The 20,424-nt window shown below is 40.5% G+C and overlaps 1 protein-coding gene and 1 long non-coding RNA gene across 11 annotated transcripts in view, besides 3 other annotated features; one reads left to right on the top strand and one right to left on the bottom strand.

Annotated features, from left to right (window-relative positions):
- The window catches only part of USP24 (ubiquitin specific peptidase 24), a 149,006-nt gene extending 130,786 nt beyond the window's left edge, over positions 1 to 18,220 (bottom strand). For all 10 annotated transcript variants that reach the window (XR_001737080.2, XM_047416524.1, XM_017000832.2 and 7 more), the window contains exon 1: positions 17,646 to 18,220. Coding sequence is in view for 9 of the 10 variants with exons in the window: in XM_047416524.1 (XP_047272480.1) it covers positions 17,646 to 17,969 (324 nt within the window). In the remaining variant the exon portion in view is untranslated. The remainder of the gene's footprint in view (positions 1 to 17,645) is intronic.
- Positions 17,108 to 17,167: an enhancer, noted in NCBI's record as "active region_1071". NCBI's record gives its function as "activates an Ori minimal core promoter by ATAC-STARR-seq in GM12878 lymphoblastoid cells {active_cell/tissue: GM12878}" and the evidence as "EXISTENCE:reporter gene assay evidence [ECO:0000049][PMID:35858748]".
- Positions 17,628 to 17,817: a silencer, noted in NCBI's record as "silent region_928". NCBI's record gives its function as "represses an Ori minimal core promoter by ATAC-STARR-seq in GM12878 lymphoblastoid cells {active_cell/tissue: GM12878}" and the evidence as "EXISTENCE:reporter gene assay evidence [ECO:0000049][PMID:35858748]".
- Positions 17,888 to 18,397: a silencer, noted in NCBI's record as "silent region_929". NCBI's record gives its function as "represses an Ori minimal core promoter by ATAC-STARR-seq in GM12878 lymphoblastoid cells {active_cell/tissue: GM12878}" and the evidence as "EXISTENCE:reporter gene assay evidence [ECO:0000049][PMID:35858748]".
- Positions 18,264 to 20,311, top strand: LOC100507634 (uncharacterized). Its single transcript, NR_038320.1, has one exon. It is a non-coding gene; the product is annotated as an uncharacterized LOC100507634 (long non-coding RNA).
- Positions 20,312 to 20,424: the final 113 nt, after the last annotated feature.

Raw genomic sequence — 20,424 nt, forward strand, 5'->3', positions numbered from 1 at the left:
GTTGGCTTCACCTTCTTCAGGTCTTTGCTCAAATATGACCTGCTCTGTGAGGCCTTCCTTGAATAATCTACTCAAAAAGCAGCCCTTATCATACCCCCTACCCACTGCTGTCCAGCATGATCTCTCTCCTGTGCTGCTTTTTTTCCACAGTACTTATCATCATCTGACATTCTACATTTCACTTATCTTATTTGTTGTCTGTCTCCCCTCATTAGGATATAAGCTCCAACAGGGCAGAATTGTTTTGTTTGTTCCATTATCTGTAACAGTCCCTAAGACAGAGTGGGTGCTCAACAAATTCTTGGTGAATGAATGAGTGAATGTTAAGACCTAATACATGCTTATGAAATGAAAGAAAGGAAACAGATCCTGAGCACAGAGAATTGTATGTGTGTTCAGGCACAAAAGAGAAAGCATGGCACATTTAAAGCACTACCTTCATAACATCAAATACTGAGCTGTAGTAAACTTCACCTGTTTAAAGTTTGGCTCCCTAATAAGAGTGTGTTACTCAATGGAGCTCTATCTAATTCTCTATTGTATCTCCAATGTCTATTCGATACCTAAATCACTTGTACAACATCCCCAACAATATCCCAGAACCTCTGCCTAAATATAGTGACCAGGTGCTTAGGACATTTTGAGATTACCTGTTCCTGTTTTGCCTGTTCAACTGAAATCTATCTCCACATAACTTTGACTAATACCTTACCTGACCACAATTAGATGGGATGTTATTTTCTGGGAACTTTTATTTTCTCACTTGTGAAAAGCAAATGCTATTTGCTTTGTTCATTATAACTACGAAGGGTTTCTGTGAGTACCAAATAAGATAATGTATGAGAAAGTGTTGTTTCTTAACTCAAACCTCATATAATGAAAAGTGAAGAACAATTATGGTTATCTAAACTGCTCTTAAAAAAGTCATTCTGCACAAATTTTTACTACAGGAATAAAACCCCACTGAAAGCACATTTATATTTCTTTTTTAAAAAAATATTAAAAATAATTTTTTTTTTTAAAGACAGGATCTCACTATGTTGCCCAGGCTGGTCTCAAATACCTCACTTCAAGCAATCCTCCTACCTTGGCCTTCCAACGTGCTGGGATTACAGGCGTGTGCCACCATCCCCAGCCTATATTTCTCATTTTAGAAAGATACTCCATGTTCTCTCAAGCAGTATGTTCTAATCTGTCTTAATGGAAATGGAGGATGAAGTCGGAGAGAATGAAAGGGAAAGAGAACAAGGCATTTCCGTTTTTGTGTGTAGAAAGAACACAGAATTGAAAGTCAAGTAACATGGTTTTAAGTCCCACCATGAGCTGTGTGATTTTAGACAGGGTTTCTTAACCTTGTTTCTACTGACAATTTGGGCTAGACAATTCTGTTCTGTGCACTGTAAGATGTTTATCAGCATCCCTGGCCAGTAGCACCTCTCTAGTTGTGACAACACTAAAACATCTCCATACATGTGTAATGCCTCCGGGGTGGGATGACAAATCACCCCTGGTTGGTTAAGACTTGATATCTCCATACCTCAGTTTCATCTATAAAATGAAAATATTTACCTACAGATCCAAGATCTCTTCTGGCTCTAAAAATGCTAAAATTCTACTACAGGTCAAAATATAGGTTGTTGACAAATGCAGTCTTACTAATGGGGAACAAATTATGTAATGAAAGAAGGCAAGTATTTTCGTTTGGTTTTCCTTAATAAATAATAAAATATCCTTGGGTATTTAAAATGATTCAATCATAAAATCTTTTAAACATAAGAGATCTGAATTAGACATTTCACAAGTGTCAGTATAAAAAGATGAAAATACCATTCTAGAATCTGGCTTAAAAGAACATGATAACCAGGACAGGCATGGTGGCTCACACCTGTAATCCTGGCACTTTGAGAGGCCGAAGCGGGCAGATCACTTGAGGCCAGGAGTTTGGGACCAGCTTGGCCAACAGGCAAAATCCTGTCTCTATTAAAAATACAAAAATTAGTCAGGCATGGTGGCGGGCACCTGTAATCCCAGCTACTTGGGAGGCTCAGGCACGAGAATCACTTGAACCCGGGAGGTGGAGGTTGCAGTGAGCCAAGATTGCACCACTGCACTTTAGCTTGGGCGACAGAGCGAGACTCTGTTTCCAAAAAACAAAAAAACAAAACAAAAAAAAAACATGATTAACAGATGCAATGCATACTTTTTGATTCAATCCTAGATTACAATTTTTATAAAAGTCTATAGAGGATATTGCAGTATAAGTGGAGAATTTGAATATGAACTAAATAATAGACAATATTAACGTATTAATGTTAAATTCCTTTGGTAGGATAATGGTACTGCAGTTCTGTAGAATGTCTTTGTCCTTAGGAGATTCACATTAAAGTATTTAGGAGTCAGATGTCTTGACATTTGCAACTTATTTTTCAAATGGTTCAGAAAAAGTGTGTGTGTGTGTGTGTGTGTGTGTGTGTGTGTGAGAGAGAGAGAGACAGACAGAGAGAGAAGCTAAAGCAAATGTGACAAAATGTTTGCAAATAATGAATCAAGGTGAAGGGTATACAAGTGTTCACTGTATTGTTCTTTTGATTTCTGTAGACTATAAATTGTTCAACATAAAAACTTGGAAAAAATATATCTAGTATTGTATTAGTCCATTTTCATGCCACTGATAGAGACATACCCGAGACTGGACAATTTGCAAAAGAAGGAGGTTTAATTGGACTTACAGTTCCACGTGGCTGGGGAAGCCTTACAATCATGGCAGAAGGCAAGGAGGAGCAAGTCACGTCTTACATGGACGGCAGCAGGCAAAGAGAGAATGAGGAAGATGCAAAAGCGGAAACTCCTGATAAAACCATCAGATCTTGTGAGACTTATTCACCACCACGAGAACAATATGGGGATAACTGCCCCCATGATTCAATTATCTCCCACTGGGTCCCTCGCACAACACGTGGACGTGGGAATTATGGGAGTATAATTCAAGATGAGATGTGGGTGGGGACACAGAGGTTTCCAAACTTTATCAAGTATCAAATCAAATTATACCCAGTTTAAATTTGTAGCAGACCATTTTCTAATATTTTACTAAGTACTTTTCCACAACATTCCCTACTCTGTCAGAAGTTCCTAGAATAGTTGGAGGTCCTTATGGGAATAAGCTATATTGAAAAAGCAATCCAAGTGACTCTGATCTGATGTTGGCCATCCCTAGCAGCTCTTTAGAACCACTGGAATAGCTTATGGAACCCCTTAAAAGCAGGGGCTGTATCTCAGTTCTCAGAAGCCAGAAGAGAGCCAAAGACATTCAATAGATTGCTTAGTGTTGAACAAATAGTTACCATACTACTGTTTCTTTCCTCCTCCTACTCCCACTCCACATACTTTTTTTTTATTTTGGGAGGAGAAAGGAGAAAAAATAAAGTGTCTCAATAGCTTTACTTCAAAATAAGCTCACTTGGATTAACAGTGTCATCATTAATCATTATTATAGAAATAAATAAATGTGACAATCTGAAACAAAAACAACACTAAAAGTCAGTTTTCTGCTTTAATTATACTGTGACATGTTTTCTCTTTTCTCTCTTTCCTCTCCAGAAATGACATCCTCTGCAAATCTTCTCCTTACTAACGTAGAGCTCACCTAAGTGATGTAACAAAACTACATAAAAACAGACTGGCAAACAGTCCTACTAAAGGCTTAAAAAGGGTTTGTTTCTTTTAGCATCCACTATGTTCTTTCTTGTGTGCAATATTTTTCTATGTGAGCTAAAGAAAAAACATAAAGCAAAGGAAGTGGTGCAGAATACCAAAGTTCAAATTTAATGTGTTACATCCAAAATTGTATACATTATAAAGACACCGGCAATAGCTCAAAAAATGTTCCTTCCCACCAACTGTAATACAAGGTAAACACTGTGACAGAAATCTGCCAAAAGACTACAAAAAAATTTATGCTATTTTCAAGCTATGGTGTAGGGTATTTTAGGCAAAAGTAGATTTAAGAGACTATTTGAGAAGCATGAATGGGGGAAATGTGTTCCAAAATGGTGATGCAAATAAATATATTCCATATCAGATTCTTTGATTCAGTTTAGTATCTCCTGTGTCAAGTGTTTCCTGGAACTTTCCAGGAAATACAGAAAACCAGACCCTGCTTTCAAAAGACTCAATTTAGGCTGGGCGCAGTGGCTCATGCCTGTAATCGCACTTTGGGAGGCCAAGGCAGGTGGATCACGAGGTCAGGAGTTTGAGACCAGCCTGGCCAAGATGGTGAAACCCCATCTCTACTAAAAATACAAAAATCAGCTGGGCGCAGTGGCAGGTGCCTGTAATCCCAGCCACTCGGGAGGCTGAGGCAGGGGAATCGCCTGAACCCGGAAGGCAGAGGTTGCAATGAGCCGAGATCACGCTACTGCACTCTAGCCTGGGTGACAGAGCAAGACTCCATCTCAAAAAAAAAAAAAAAAAAAAAAAAAAAAAGACTCAATTTAATATGGTGACAAAGGAACAATGCCAATGCAATGAGATAAATGCTATGACAGAGGTACAAAAAGGTTTCTATTCAAACTCAAGAAGGGACGTTTAACTAGGAGGAAGGGAAGAAAGAACGGGAGGAGGTATAATGCAAGGCATCAAGTTCTAACAGAAAACCATTAGCAAGAGTGATTAACAGTACAGGTGGTATGTTAGCATTCGGAGTCTCTTGGGACTTGCTTGACTTAAGGAAGGAGATGTTCCTACCCTATCTCTGCCAACTGCAAGGCTGTGTTAAATCTATTTTGTAGTGAAAGGATCAAGTGCAAGGATCAAATTGATACCACACACACAGTGCTATGGAATAGCCCACTATGGCAAGAGGTGAGAGAGGAGGGCATGCCAGGCAGGAGAAAATGCACGTGCACAGGCAAGGAGTCATAAGAGGATCTAGCAAATTTTAAAACTGATCTCCTTTTTAAGTATCCTCTAAGAGCGCATCAATATTCACCATGCTTTATTTTTGTATTCATTAAAATATATAACCTAAGGCAAGTGTTATATTTTCAGTATATTTACACCATTCCAAGGTATATTTCAAAATGTTTAACTTCAAACCTGCAAGTATATAATACATCCCGGTTGATATTTGCCGTCATTACTGTGTTTGATACACAGAGAACGAAAAGGCTATTTTAAGAAACTAAACAATACACATCTGAAACAGAAAAGTATTAAATTAGGTGGTATACTGTTTCAAGCGATTTGTATACCGACTTTTTCTTTCTTTTTTTTTTTTGAGATGGAGTCTCACTCTGTCACCCAAGTTGCAGTGCAGTGGTGCGATCTCGGCTCACTGCAAACTCCGCCTCCCAGGTTCAAGCAATTCTCCTGCCTCAGCCTCCTGAATAGCTGGGACTACAGGCACCCATTACCACACCCAGCTAATTTTTGTATTTTCAGTAGAGACGGAGTTTCACCCTGTTGGTCAGGCTGGTCTCAAACTCCTGACCTCAGGTGATCCACCTGCCTTGGCCTCCCAAAGTGCTGTGATTACAGGCGTGAGCCACCACATCCGGCCTGTATACTGACTCTTAAAGCTTATTTTTAAAATATTCAATACCATGAGCAACTGTGGATAGACTCAGGCAGGGGATCACTTGTACAAGGATGCTAGTCGAGAGACCACAGCACCTTCACAAGTGATAGCAATTGCTCAATCTTCCTTTCCTCAACTCCCACCGTCTTTATAAACTTATGAATAACCAATGTTAAAAAGTACCTAATGATAAAGCAAGATAAACTATAGAATCAACACTTTTGAGTGTGAGTACAGTAAGACATTTTAAGTGAGAGATCACATTCATAAACTTTTACTACCGTATATTGTAATTGTTCTATTTATTAGTTCCTGTTGTTAATCTCTTACTGTGCCCAATTTATACATTAAACTTTATCACAGGTATGTATATATAGGAAAACACAACATATATAGGGTTCAGTACTATCTGTGGTTTTCCGCATCCTCTGGGGTTCTCGGAATCCATCCCCCACAGATAGGGGAGACACTAGTGTATATCTAACAAAGGAAATGTGATGATTAAATAGAGAAAGTTTATGAGGAAGGATATATTAAAGATAACCTACAGTCAAAGACTTCCTCAGGTCAGAAGAACACTATGGTAAAGTAAACAAAAGACATCTCAAGAGGCAGAAGGCTGGGTTCCTTTTCTGACTCTGCTGAGCCAAGAGTCAAGGTCCTCCTCCCTAAGCTGACAAGACTTACCACCACCAGATCTCCATGGTCCCAGCTGTGAAACAAATAATCAATTTTAATCCTTAAAGTTTCAACTGCTAGTTCTGCTTACTGGAATAAGGAGAGGGAAATGCAGGAAATATTGTCAGTTCTACAGATAATTGTGCTGTTTTATGAAGTATATCTTGCTAAGTAGTCTTAATTAATATTCGTCTCCCATATTACAATCACTATGGACTGGGAGAATACAAGGTAACTGCATCATTTCTAATCTTTGATCCTCCTTAATAGATGCTTAAAATTCCTCTACCACAGGCATGTTCTATACTTCAACCATAAAAAGCTCAAAGTATTAGAAAGCAAACAGAACTTGCTTGTTATTCTCTAAAGGTGTCAGTGTATCTGCACATATATCATGAACCAATTGTTTTAATGGTATAAATCATATATTTTTGGCTGACATAATTCAACACAGAGAGTCTGGCTGCTCAATAGACACCTAACATTTTCTCAAAATTAAATACATTACATACATATGTGTACACATAAAATATTTTAGCTGTTAACTAGAGAATTATAGGATGATCTGCTGCTACTCTAACTCACCAAAGTATTTCAAAATGAGGTAGACATCATGAGAAGTGTATTACTAAAAGAAAAACCATTAACATTTTCCAAGTTTTAGCACAGTTCATTCCAATATAAAACTGACCACAAAAGCAAAATACTTATAATAAACTAAGCAATCCTCATGTTATTGATGCTGGACAGGTTTTTATTTACAGAGTTACTGCTATTTCCACCTTAAGTCTTTCTAAAATTACCAACATTTCTCTAAAGTAAGTTTTTTTATTATCAACAATCATTAAGAGATTTTTAGCCTAAAATAAGACCAGTTCCTAAAGCAATTTCTCTTTTTGGGAAAAACTGATACACTTACGCTTTTAGGATAAAAAATAATGCCATTTCATTAAAATAATTAACATCACTCTTTAAAAAGATACTAGTTGAGAGAATCATCAATCTACTAATATTAAACATCTAACAGGCAAAAAAATACACATTCTGTATATTCCATGACACTAAAGAAATACTGCTTGAAAAAAATATCATTTGATTTCTTGGCAATGGATGCCACTATGGATCAAATTACATCACAAAAAATCCTAGAGGCACTATACAAATGCTTTTGATACACAGATTTAAGCTTTCATATTTAACCCACAACTCTTCAAGACCTCTCTCTAGCTTCTGAAATAGAATATTAAGATTTATTAGACTTGTGGCATAAGAAATCAACCAGCCTTGAAATTATAACAGAAAAGAAATATGTCTGATTTGTTCACCATTGTATTCATTTCTAACATCTAGCTCAGTGCCTAGCACACAATAAATTCTCAATAAAAACTTACTGAATGGTTATTTTGTTAAACTGGGTCATGGCTGTTTTGCTGCTCTGACATTTTCAGTATAATGCCTATTCTTACCATTTGAATTTGATCTAAACCATTATTTAATTTAAATCTAGTTTTTATTCTGAGAACTCTTTATTTTCTACTTAATAAAAACAACAGAAATAGCAGTCCCACCTTCTTAAAAATGTGCAAACAGACATGAGAGTACATTAAAGTATACGAATGACAGAAAGAAAGTTAAGTAACAGATGAGACTGTGAGTGCAACTACCAATGGCCCCACAATGAGTAATACTGCTACAGGTCACAGGAACAGAGGTCACCAGGGAAGGCCATGTCAGCCAAGTGTGTGTTTCCATTCCATCCCTTTGGCCAAAAAAGGGGCTCTAAACACAGCTGTTTTCAAAATATAGTCACCACAGAACTTTTGAGAGTCTTCAAAAGCTGGCAGATAATCTAAAGGTCAATCAAAATACACACTGGAGTCATATATAACAATGTCATAAAAACAATTAGCAAGGCAAAATGCTGTGAGATATGGGGGCAGGACAAGGGGAGCATGCAGAAAAGAACAGAAGGGGCAGGAAAGGCAACTAAATAGAAACTCCATTAAAGCTTCAACTGTGACTCAAATTCGAAAAGTCCTGCTGAATTGCATCTTCTGAGCCAGTTTTCTTAAAGCTAGAAATAACTATATAACATAATAGTCAAATGTGAATTCTAGATTTAAAAAAATAGCTCCCAATGATGTGCTAGGAAGCAGTATACTTTTTTCTGTATTTCAATTAGATAAAAAGCAAATTAAATCTTTTTTATATTTCATTTTCCTCATTAGCAAAGTTTTTGAATAATTTTAGAGTCTGCAAAATTTTCCTAAGAATTATGCAAAACTTTAATCTTTTTAACTACTCTCATTTAAACACAGTTTGGTTTGCTTTTAGTTTTAATAAAGTTTATATACTTTTTAAAAACTCATGAAGGAAAAATTCTAAAACACGGAAAAATAGGGAGAGTATAGCCCCATCACCCCAAAATAACAATATTAATATTTTAGCACAAGCTTATTTTCAAAATTAAGTATGCATATTTACATGTATACGTGAGAGGCCCCATAGCTCTTAATTTCTTAAAGGAGTCAATGAATGAAAAAATTAAGCATTTTAGATCTAGTCTAAGATGATGCCCATTTTATAGAGGAGAAAATGGAGTTTCAGAAAGGAAAACTGACTTGCCAAACAACAGCAAGAAACAGAACCCTGAACAGAAAGGTACAGTCTCCCAAATCCTGGGCTGAATACTCTTTCAAATACCATGAGACGTTTTATTTCATTTCATTTAAGATTTTCTTTGCATCCAACCACTGAGTCATCTCTCTATCCAATTAAATATTATTGTGAGCCAGGAGTACTAAGGACACAGAGATAAAAATAGTCCTGCTCAATGCCTAATGGGAATTATCAATACACACATGCAAACACAGAAAATTTTTTAACTGAAATGTTTTACTTGGTGTACATGCAAAATGCAGTGGGAGAGTGTAGTGGTGTAAGACAAGTGTTCCGTACAGAGAAGTGGCAATTGAGCTAACCTTGAAGAACGACTTAGTGTTAGACAGGCAGAAGAGATATCAGGGAGTAGGAATAAGAATGGGAAAATAGCAGCTAAACTGCAAAAGAGCTTAGAACAGGAAGGCAGGAGATAAGACCAGATAGGTAAGTCTGGAGACCTTGAAAGAAAAGGAGTTTAGGTTTTACCTATACAAGATGAGGAACCACAAAACCATTTTACCAAGATTATTCCACAATTAAAACTTATATTTTAGAGAAATCATTTCTTGTGCCAGTGAATGGCAGAGAAAAACAGTAAAAAAAAAAAAAAAAGGGTCGGGGGGGCATGAGCCAAAACCAGAGTAGTAACAGTGAGGATAGAGGGAAGGGGCATGAAAAATATTTAGGATAAGAATAGGCTATTCCATAAAAAAGAGAGCAAGGAGTCTAGAATAACACAGACAATTAATAATAGTGTTGCTATTCACAGAGTACCTTCATATTTTCTAGGATCTGAAATACATCTTAAATTGCTACCAAGGCCGGGCATGGTGACTGGCTCATACCTGTAATCTCAGCACTTGAGGAGGCTGAGGCAGGCAGATCGCCTGAGCTGAGGAGTTCGAGACCAGCCTGCGCAACATGGCGAAACCCTATATCTACAAAAAAGAATACAAAAATTGGCACACACCTGTGGTCCCAGCTACTTGAGAGGCTGCGGTGGGGAGAATCACTTGAGCCTAGGAGGCAGAGGCTACAATCAGCCAAAATCGCCTCGCTGCATTGCAGTCTGGGTGACAGAGTGAGACCCTGTCTCAAAAACCAAAACAAAATTATAAAATTGTTACCAAAATGCTTCACACTATAGATTACCAACTATAGTTCTCAAAAAGCAATTAATGTTCAACCAAAATTGACAATATAGGAGAAATGGAAAGGGGAAAAAAAAAAAAAAAGGAAATGCTGAACTGTTTATGAAAAGCTGGGTTTTAACAGCACATGAAGCAGAAACTGAAAAGTCTTGGATTTGAATTTCTGACCAACAAGTCTTCCTTACAAAGATTTTAATTTCAGAAATAATTTTGGAAACCTACTGATACAGGAGTTAAGTACAGCTGGCTCTCTGTATCCATGGGTTCCATATCTGCAGATTCAACCAACTGCAAATCAAAATTATTTGAAGAAAAAATTAAAAATAAGAATACAACAATAAAAAATACAAACAAGAAACAATATGATGTAACAACTGCATACACAGCATTTCCATTGTATTAGGTATTATGAGTAATCTAGGGATGACTTAAAGTATACGGGAAGATGTGTGTAGGTTAGATGGAAACACTAGGGACTTGAGCATGGTGGGGTGGTATCCTGGAACCAGCCCCCTATGGCTATCAAGGGACAACTGTATCGTATTGCTTAGTAAGTAATGGTTTTATAAAATATTCTTGATATAAACTTAAGTGAAAGTATAATAAATAATGTCAAATGAATTTTGCAATACAAATAACTGGCTTGATGCTACAGGAAAGCAAATTGTGTGCTGGAACAACTACTTGTTAGTGTTTATCTTTAGAAGTGGGAAGCCCTGGTGAGTACCTAAAATATTATTTATTTTTTAAGAGAACAATCACATCTTCAACTCAGCCCTTTAAAAGATTCCAAAGACTGCTGTATCATGGCTGAAGCATTTTAATTTCTGGAAAGATTGTAAGAATAATATTTAAACTTACTTGTGTTAGCTCTTCAGAGAAAATGAAAACATCAAATCTACGGCTATATATTCCATTAACCAGCTTAAGGTAATCACCTCTAAAACAGTGGATTCTACTTCTCACACATAACACACACAGAGAAATAAAAAATGGAAGCTACCAATGGTGGGAGCCAGGTTTCTCACTAGCAGACAAACAAGTGACCCTGTAAACATACTATAAAAACAAAATGGTTATAAAATACTTTGCCAAAACTCACCACAGAGATTATCGACAGAAACAATAATGTTGGCCAGGTGCGGAGGCTCACACCTGTAATCCCAGCACTTTGGGAGGCTGAGGTTGGCGGATCACTTGAGGCCAGAAGTTCAAGACCAGCCTGGCCAACATGGTGAAACCCCGTCTCTACTGAAAATATGAAAATTAGCCGGATGTGGTTGGTGCATGCCTGTAATCCCAGCTACTTAGGAGGTTGAGGCAGGAGAATCACTTGAACCTGGGAGGCGGAGGTTGCAGTGAGCTGAGATTGCACCACTGCACACCAGCCTGGGTGACAAAACTACACTCTGTCTCAAAAAAATAAAACAAAACAAAAAACAGCGCTGGGCACGGTGGTTCACGGCTGTAATCCCAGCACTCTGGGAGGCAGAGGCAGGCGGATCACGAGGTCAGGAGTTCGAGACCAGCCTGGCCAACATGGTGAAACCCCATTTCTACTAAAAATACAAAAATTAGCAGAGCGTGGTGGCAGGCGCCTGTAATCCCAGCTACTTGGGAGGCTGAGGCAGAAGAATCGCTTGAAACTGGAAGGCGGACGTTGCAGTGAGCCAAGATCACACCACTGCACTCCAGCCTGGGTGAAAGAGCAAAACTCCATCTTAAAAAAACAAAACAAAACAAAAAAAACCCAATAATGTCACCTACTATCAATATGAGCTTAACGAAAATTTTTATGTCAGTTGTGACTGAAAAATGTGATAACACTAAACAATAAAAATTCCTATGATAAAGAAAATGAAAAATACAAGCTTAAAAAAGGAAGTAAAACTCCCTAGAAAAAAAAGGGAGGAAAAAAACATTTACTCTTTTGAAAATGAAGCACAACTCTCTTAGTCGTACCTCTGCAATCTAGTATCATGACTGAAATGTCCTCACATCTGAATTTTCCAGGTGTCTGAAGCCTACTTCTTTATCCATCCAACTTCTTCTTTTTTTTTCTTTTTAAAAGGAAAACCTTTCTAAAATACATTAAACATTCCTGACCCTTCTTAAGCAGACCACACTGGAACCTCTTCTTGACTGTGACATCATTGAAAACACAGTTATCCTCTCAGGGCCATGAAACACATAATAAAGCTGTTTCAAATCACCCTACACAAATCGGCTAGTGTGATTTGGTTGAGTCGGCTTTTAAAGCTTTCCTGTTCCCTCCTTGACCACTAAGCTGCTACTGTCACTTCTCACTATTGTCAAATGAGCTTGTCTCTAAGAGCTCATCACCTTGTGTTTAGATTGCCATAAAACCATTCTAATTTGATAGGAAACCTAATATTGAAACTTGTTTGAACTGTATTTTTTGTTAAGTTTAAACACAAATGAAAGAAATGCATGAGCTTTAGTGCACTTAGAGCGCTTAGTGAGTGGAGTGCATGAGCTTTAATGCATGTACGAAGGTGTTCTGAAATGGTTCCATCTTATGTGTTTACTTCTTATTTCTCTCTGTGGTTCCATATAAGGAAAATTTCCAGGAAAACTGAACTCCAGATTTCAGATTCTACTAAATCTTTTTTAACATTTTCTTATTAAAAGTAAAAAACGCCCTCCTTCACACTCAGATCAAGTAAATGGTATATGATATTGTAGGCAGTAAGTATAAAAATACTTAAGTATATGGACATATTTTTCTATTAATGTTGAAACCTTTTCCTCAAATTGCTAAAACATTACAACATTTGCTTTTCTAACATTGAAATTGTTTTCAAAATTTAAGCTAACAATATTATTATGCTGTATAAAGCTGTCACAACCTACTATGATTTCACTAAAACCACACTCACAGACACACGAAAGGTACTCTCTTCATGCCAAATTACATTCATTCTAAAAGTGAATGGGCAGGTAATTACAAGGTGAGACTCCAACCATTAGATTAACTCACAGACCTAATTCCCAAAGGAGATATATATACATATACTGGATCAGAAAGAAATTCTTATTTAAAAATTAGGCCATGCTGATTCATCTTTAATTCCCTATTTTTATTTCATCTACTTTCAACTGATTTGGGAAATTATTTCATTTTTTTACTCTAAAGCCTTTAAAGGGCCTTTTTTTATTTACCAAATCACAGTAATTCATAAACCACAGGTCATGTACCAAATCACTAATAGTTAACTAAAAGCTACTCATTTGATATTTACTCCACACTCATACTAGGGTTGTTGTATTTTAGGAAAAGAATAACATGAATTTTACCATAAACCTTAATTATACACATTGACAGTATTACAATTTTAATCCATTTATAATTACCACTTACTACCAAAGGGGAACAAGAGAAATAGGAATGAGGTAAGTTAAGGAACTACAAATTAATATGCTTCTTATTTTTATGTGACTTAGATATATTAACAGCAGGACCAACTTTGGGGCTCTAAACTTAAAAAAACAAAAAAGCAATGAAATCTTGAAAGTACTCCTGACAAAACAATACCTCCAGAAAGAACATCCACATTAAAACAGGAACAAAACAAGGAGTTCACAATGTTTATCAGATCACAGTATTAAATGTCACTTCTGGGAATATTAATTAACAGCACTAGACAGCTAAGAAAGGTATTTCCTCAGTTAATATGAAATCTCCTTCCAAAAACTTCCATTTTAGTATTTTCTAAAGACAAACTTAATGAATAAGGTATTCATTATAGTATTAATGTTTGATGGTATTCCTTATGGATAAGGTACATTTCATAATTGTTAAGTTCTGTGAGATGCACAGGATACCTGGTTCAGATTTCTACTGATCCCCTGGAGAGATTACAAAGGCCCAACTCTTCCTGTTGTGTAGAGAACAGAACCAATTGGTACGCACTTGGCAGGCCAGAGTTTACATTAGCCATGCAGTAAAGAGTGAAGAATTCTGACAGGGGGGTGGTTAAAAATCAGAATAAGTTATTTAGAGCAGCTGTGAGAGCTCACTCTCTTTAATAATAGAACAGACTCTTATGTGCCGTGGAATGATTTTGAAGTAATGCTATTCAAAATCAAAACTGGACAGCTTCTCAAAGTCCCTTCCAGACCCAGAGACCAAGAACATTTACATCCAACAATACTAGTGAGAACCAAACACATCTCTTCTGCAAAACACTATCTTTACTTAATTGGAGGATATTAACAAGGTGGCTTTCTATGCAGTTGTGTGTTTTGCTAGATATCTGGGTCTTTTTTATCTGCATTCTCCTTGCTTCTACTGAACCGGAAGTTAACAGCTTTCACTGTTCAAATATTAATTTTTAAACCAAACCCTAATTACAGCAGGGCCTCAAACTGATTTACCTAACTAGCTACATGACCTTGGACAGTCTTTTCTTGTAAAATGAGAGGCTTGGACTAAGACCCACTAGAATGTAAACACCACGTTCTGTTCAACACTCTACTCCCTGCCCCTGGGACAGGAAGGCATTAAGAGAAAACCATTGCTATCCCCAAACTACAAATATAAAAAAACTTAAGTCATTTCTTTCTTTTCTAATCAATTAGATTTTATTCTGTTTTTCCCATTTTTAAAGAAGACAATGACACTGAAATGTCCTGTGCAGCAAATAGAAATGTATATAATTTAAAATAAGGTACTCAGTTTTTAGAAATAAAAAGGATTAACTATATAATAGCTGACAATCTTCACCCAGTTTTTTTACTCTTCTTCCTTCCCTTTAACCCATTACTGTGTCCCATTCCTTTTTCCTTTGAAAGAGAGCCCGAAAGAGTGCAGGACTTCAAGCAAAAGGGCCTGAGTACTAGCCCCACCTCTTCTATTAACTGACTCTGTGGGGACAAGCCACTTCCCCTTTGGGGCCCGAAAGGGTGCATCTGTTAAACAAGGGAGCTGCACTAATTATTAATTTCTAAAGTATGCTTCTTTTTAAAAAATCTGATTCACCTTATATTCTACCCATTATTCGATTCTTAATGGTTGGTGCTCACCACATCATTGCACAGTAGCCTTAAAATATGTCTTTCCCTCATTATTTCTCCTTACTATCCATACTGTTACCAAACAAATTTAATCCTAAAACCATGAGTTGAGCAGAGTGAAAAGCACACTGGCTTTGAAGTCAAAGAGACCTGGGTTCAAATTCAGCCCCTGCCACCCACTACATAATCATATCCCTAAAAAGCCTACGTTAACTCTCTCACCAAGGGTTAAATAAACTGTATAACGCACCTAAGACAGGGCCTGACACCCTGTAGATGCTGGATAATATTTATTACCTTTCCCTATTTCCCAAGATCAAGAGCCTCAGTTTCCCACTGTGTACACCAAGGATGACCAAGAAGTTCCATAGGTGGCATGCATTAAGATTATTAAACCACAGAGGCACATTCTGCGTTAAATGTTTCCAAAAGGCTCCTGTGTGTCAGGAAAGTCTCAGCCTGCCAACCTCTGCCAATACGCTTCGTGGGTAAAGCAGCCTCAGTCACCAGCTCCTCTTGAACTCTTAAAAGTAAACGGTGCAGCTTCCCTCCCCCAGGCCAAATCCACAGGTCTAGGAGAAATGAGGACTTGATGCACTGCTTCGAAAAGATGGAGATTTTATGGATTTTAATTTACCGCAAACCAAACTCCTTAGCCTGCCATTCACGTAAGAAGCCACTCCCAATTCTTTGTACTTACATGTACTGGCAGTAAGCTAAGGTTAGCGCTAATGTTAACATGAATGCACCAAGCATTGTAATTTAAATTGATTTTCCAATCACAGGAAATTAAAAGGTATGACAAAAGAAAAAAAGAATCACATTTCTCACATAATGAGGATACACTGAGCTTTGCAGAGTTATACAAACACCTTCTGAAAAAGCAACGGCTTTCTTCTTGATTTCAAAACTGGGTCAAAAACTAGAAGGAACGAGGGAGGAGTGATAGGAACTGCCAATGAGAAGCTGATTTCTTAAAATGACTTAAGTATGGTTACTCAATTATATGGGAATTTAAAAAAATTCCCAAACTAGGAATAGTAACAATCTTTATTTCCATATACTAGTCAACGATACAGCTAAGTTAGTGGGTTACAGAGGGCAATCTAGCAACTGTGTCTAAGTGTGGAAGCCAAAGAAATCTTGTGCAGAAACCTGTTCTTTTTAAGTGCCACCTTCTTGTTCAAGCTACTTCAGCCCGAGGAACTGTTGCAAAAGCATACAATTAAAAGGATATAACACTGCTCAGGAAAAAGTGTTTCAAAAGGCTTAGCTTCACTAAGCTTAATTCTTCATTAAGAACGAACCAAATTCGTATCTCTACCTAATAACGCAATCCCAATAATTTGAGATCTGTGCTTTTCTGTGGTCAGGCCAAGCTGCTCTACTGGCCCCTGAAATGAACTACCCAACGAATCTGACCAAAATTCCTGCCATGAGCTACTATGTTTCTGCAAAGTAATTATTCAAAAGCACTGCTGCTTCTGGTCGATCTTTTTTCTTTATTATAGAAGAGTCCGTTTTCTTCCCCCACGTTCCTTGCTCACACCCCAAACTAAACAGGCATAGTCTTCTCCACCTAGACTTGAGGTCTCTGATCAAAGCCATTAGCCTCAAGACTCCTCCTCCACCCCCACTGCGCTCCCACCCTGTTCCGCGCCCCTCTGCATAGCACCCTCAGTATGACTACCATCTCTTTCCCCGGTCTAATTTTCTCTCATTTCTGACCTTATCGATGACCAGTACTCCCTCTTTACCCAGACCTGGTGCCAGCTCTATCTTCCAATTCCAGTCCCCATCCCTGCCTAGACCCTCCTCAGCTCCCACCCCTGCCCAGGCCTCCCACCTCTGCCCTCTCAGTGCAATCCCCACTGCTCTCATACCTGATTTTATTCAAGTCCTCATTCCTGGCCGCGGCCCCTTCCCTCTTCATTTTAAATCCTACTCAATGCCCCCCCTTTCCGACCCTTGGCTAAAACCCCAACCTCACTCCTAACCCCAACAGTTTTCCTGTGATCCTGTCAAAGACCACTACTCTGGCCGGCCCACACCGCTTTTTCTGACTCTGAGCCTGGTGCCTCCGCCAATCCTTCACTGAAACCTCGTGCCACAAAATCTCCGACCTAGCCTAGTGCACTAGTACCCCATTTCCGACCCCCTACTGCACGCATCCTTCCCACTATATGCTCAAGTGTCTGTCCTCCCATCTCGGATGATAGCCCTGGAGCCTCCTCCCCATCGTCGGCGTGCATAGCCGGAAGCCTAAGGGACCCCTCCTCACCCCAACCCACAGCTCCGCTGCGCATCCCTAATTCCCTTTCACACGCCTCTCCTATGGGTCCCTCTCCCCACTTACCCCCAATCAAGTGACTTCGGTTCCCAACTGGAGCCTGGGGCTTCTCTCTCTCTCTCCGCCCCGCCCCCACTAAAGCCCCAGTCGAATGCCCTCTCTCCCCACACCAAGCCCAGCGGGGTGTGTCCCCTCCCAGGAACTCCAGCCCAGTGGCTTCCCACAGAGGTCTGGGGTTGCCCCTCCTCACCTCCGCGTCCACCACCTCGTGGTAGGCGGGCGGGGGGTCGAAGCCGCCCCCGCCTCCGGTGCTCCCGCCGCGGGAGGGGCCGCCGCCGCCGCCGTCACCTCCGCCGTCGCCCCGCGGGCCCCCGCCGGGCCCGGGGCTGGGGCCACCGCCGCTGTCCATGGGCTCGTAGCCGCCGTAGTCGAGGCCCGGCCGCTCGTTGGTGAGCAGTGCCACGGCCTCGTTAATGTCGTTCTTGGCCAGGCGCAGGGCCTTGCGGATGGTGGCGGGGTCTGAGAAGCCCATGCACAGCAGCGTGGTCATGTGCTGCTCCTCCTCCGATTCCATGGCTTGGGCCTCCTGGCCGCCCCGGCCAGCGCACGGCGAAGCTACGGGTCCCGGGCCTGGCGGGCCGCGCGGCGCACCCTCCGCGCCGCCTCCGCGCCCAGGTTGGCCCCTGCGTTCCTGCCCCGGGTGCTCCGCAGCAGCCGGGCCAGGCTGGGTGCGGGCTTGGGTCCTGCGAGCCGAGCTAGTGCGGTGAGGCGCTCAGGCGCGGCTGCGGCCCGGCCCAGCCCTGCGCGCCGCCATGTTGGCCTCCTCCCCCTCCGCCTCCTCCTCCCCGGGCGGCGGGGCCGCGCCTCGGCTCCCGGAAGCGGCACGGGAGGCGACCGTGCTCGCCGTTGGCAGGCTAGGGTTGGCGGCGGCGTATTCTGTTTGTTTTAAACGAAGGAGCGGAGGGAGGGGCCGCGCCGCGGAGCGTGCCTAAGGTGAAAGGGCTGCCGTGCAGCCAGGCAGAGGCGAGGAAGGCTTCTCCATCGTCGCCACCGCCCGCCTGTTTCGCCGGCAACAGGTTCCCCCGGGACGGGAGGGGCCGCAGCGCCGCGCAGCTCGCAGCGCTGAACGTCGCGGAAATCCCTTGGCCGGCCGAGCCTCCGCAGCCGCGACCCGGCTTCTCTCCGTCCGAGTCCCCCGAGCCTCTCCGAACCCCCGTTGGACTTCCCCTCCCTGGCCGGCGCCGCCCGACCCGCTCCCCCATCCTAGAGGGAATTCCCTGCGCCGCGGCTGTGAGGCACCTCCACCCCGGCCTGAAATGCACCGCAGTCCTGAAGGAAATCCACCCTCATCCCACGCAGATTCACCCGCAACGCTGCCTGAATACGCCTCGCTGCCCACAGAAATTCCTGCCCAAACCAGACGCGTGGACCACCCAAGACGAAATTCACACTCGACCCTAGCCCCGCCAGCCCTTGCCGAAATCACCCTAAACCCGTTGAAATTAATTCCCAGCTGTCCGAATTTTCCTTCCAACATTAACTGACTACCTGTCTCCGCCAAGCTGACTGAACTCTACCGAACTCTTACCCTGAAAGCCCCTGAGAGTCCAAAATATATTTTTCCAGCCCGAAATCTAAATCCCAGTTCTCTGTATGAAAACCTCCAGAAACCCAGACTCTTACTTCCTTCGGCCACGGACTCGTTCGAACATCGTGGACATCACCTTCCCACATTTTTACCGCAGTCTTTGGCTCCGATTCTTTGTCCCTGCCTCTTGGGCAGCATCCTATCCCTGTTTCTTTCCACCTTTGAGGATTCCTCTACCTCTTTAAAGGCCTGCTTTCTTTGCTTTCTCTTCTCACCTTTGGCATTGGCACACTGGGGTCATATCTTTAGTTCCCTTGACTCCACCATCTAAGCCAAGGGTGTCCAATCTTTTGGCTTCCCTGGGCTACATTGGAAGGAGAAAAATTGTCTTGGACCACATATAAAATATTCTAACGCTAATGGTAGCTGATGAAACTTTTAAAAAATCTCATCATGTTTTAAGAAGTTTACGAATTTGTGCTGAGCCGCATTCAAAGCCGTCCTGGGCCTAAGTCCTTGCTATTTTTCCTCTTCAATTTCCTTCAATCCATAGTTCTCTAGGTTATTTTCCCACCCTTTCCCAAGATTCGGATATCCCTTCATTCTTGCTGAGTTCATCTCCTATGCCTATTCCTACATACTTGCTGAGTTCATCTTCTAATGTCCTCATCCTGGTTTCTTCCTGAACCTGAAATCCAGCTAACCTTACTTTTTCATCCCATCAAACCCCTGCTGTTGCCAGCCCAGCACTCACGAAGATCTTTACATACACCAAATATTAAATTAGGGCCGGTACCTAGACATTGTCTCTGCACTCTGCTGGCATATTTTCCCCTGGACCACGAACCCTTCGTACCTAGTAACTTGCCACCTGTGTTTATAAATACCAGCAATTTGATTTACAGGGTGAATTTGTCACTATTGTTTACTTTTAAATGAAGTTACTGTATTTGTTGTTTCCATTAAAGGCGACATTATAAAGCCTAGGCCTCATATCCAAAGCAAATAAAGTCTCAATTTTTTAATTAAAAGTAACAAAAGGAAACCTCACACTTCTGAACAACAATGACAAGAAGGAATGCCTATAATTGGTTTGGGTCACAATGTACATATTGAAATAAAATTTTTATTAAGTATCAACTTCCAGGTACACAATGAAGTTTTAAATGTTTATCTGTGACATATGAAGAACAAAGCAATCTAAACTGATGTAAGCAGGCTGTCATAAGGTACATGCTGAGGAATTTATTCAACAAATTGAATAAATTTATTCAATAAATAAATAATTATTCAATAAATAATATATTTAATAAATTTAATAAATAGAATAAAAATGATTCTATTTACTGGGTGCCAGGTACTATTCTTCGCACAGACAAAAATTAGATGATGGCAAAGTGAGGGCATTCAATTCTGCCCTGTGTTTGAAGAGTTAATTACT

The sequence above is a fragment of the Homo sapiens genome, chromosome 1 (assembly GCF_000001405.40).
Source record: "Homo sapiens chromosome 1, GRCh38.p14 Primary Assembly".
NCBI classification, from domain to species: Eukaryota; Metazoa; Chordata; class Mammalia; order Primates; family Hominidae; genus Homo; species Homo sapiens.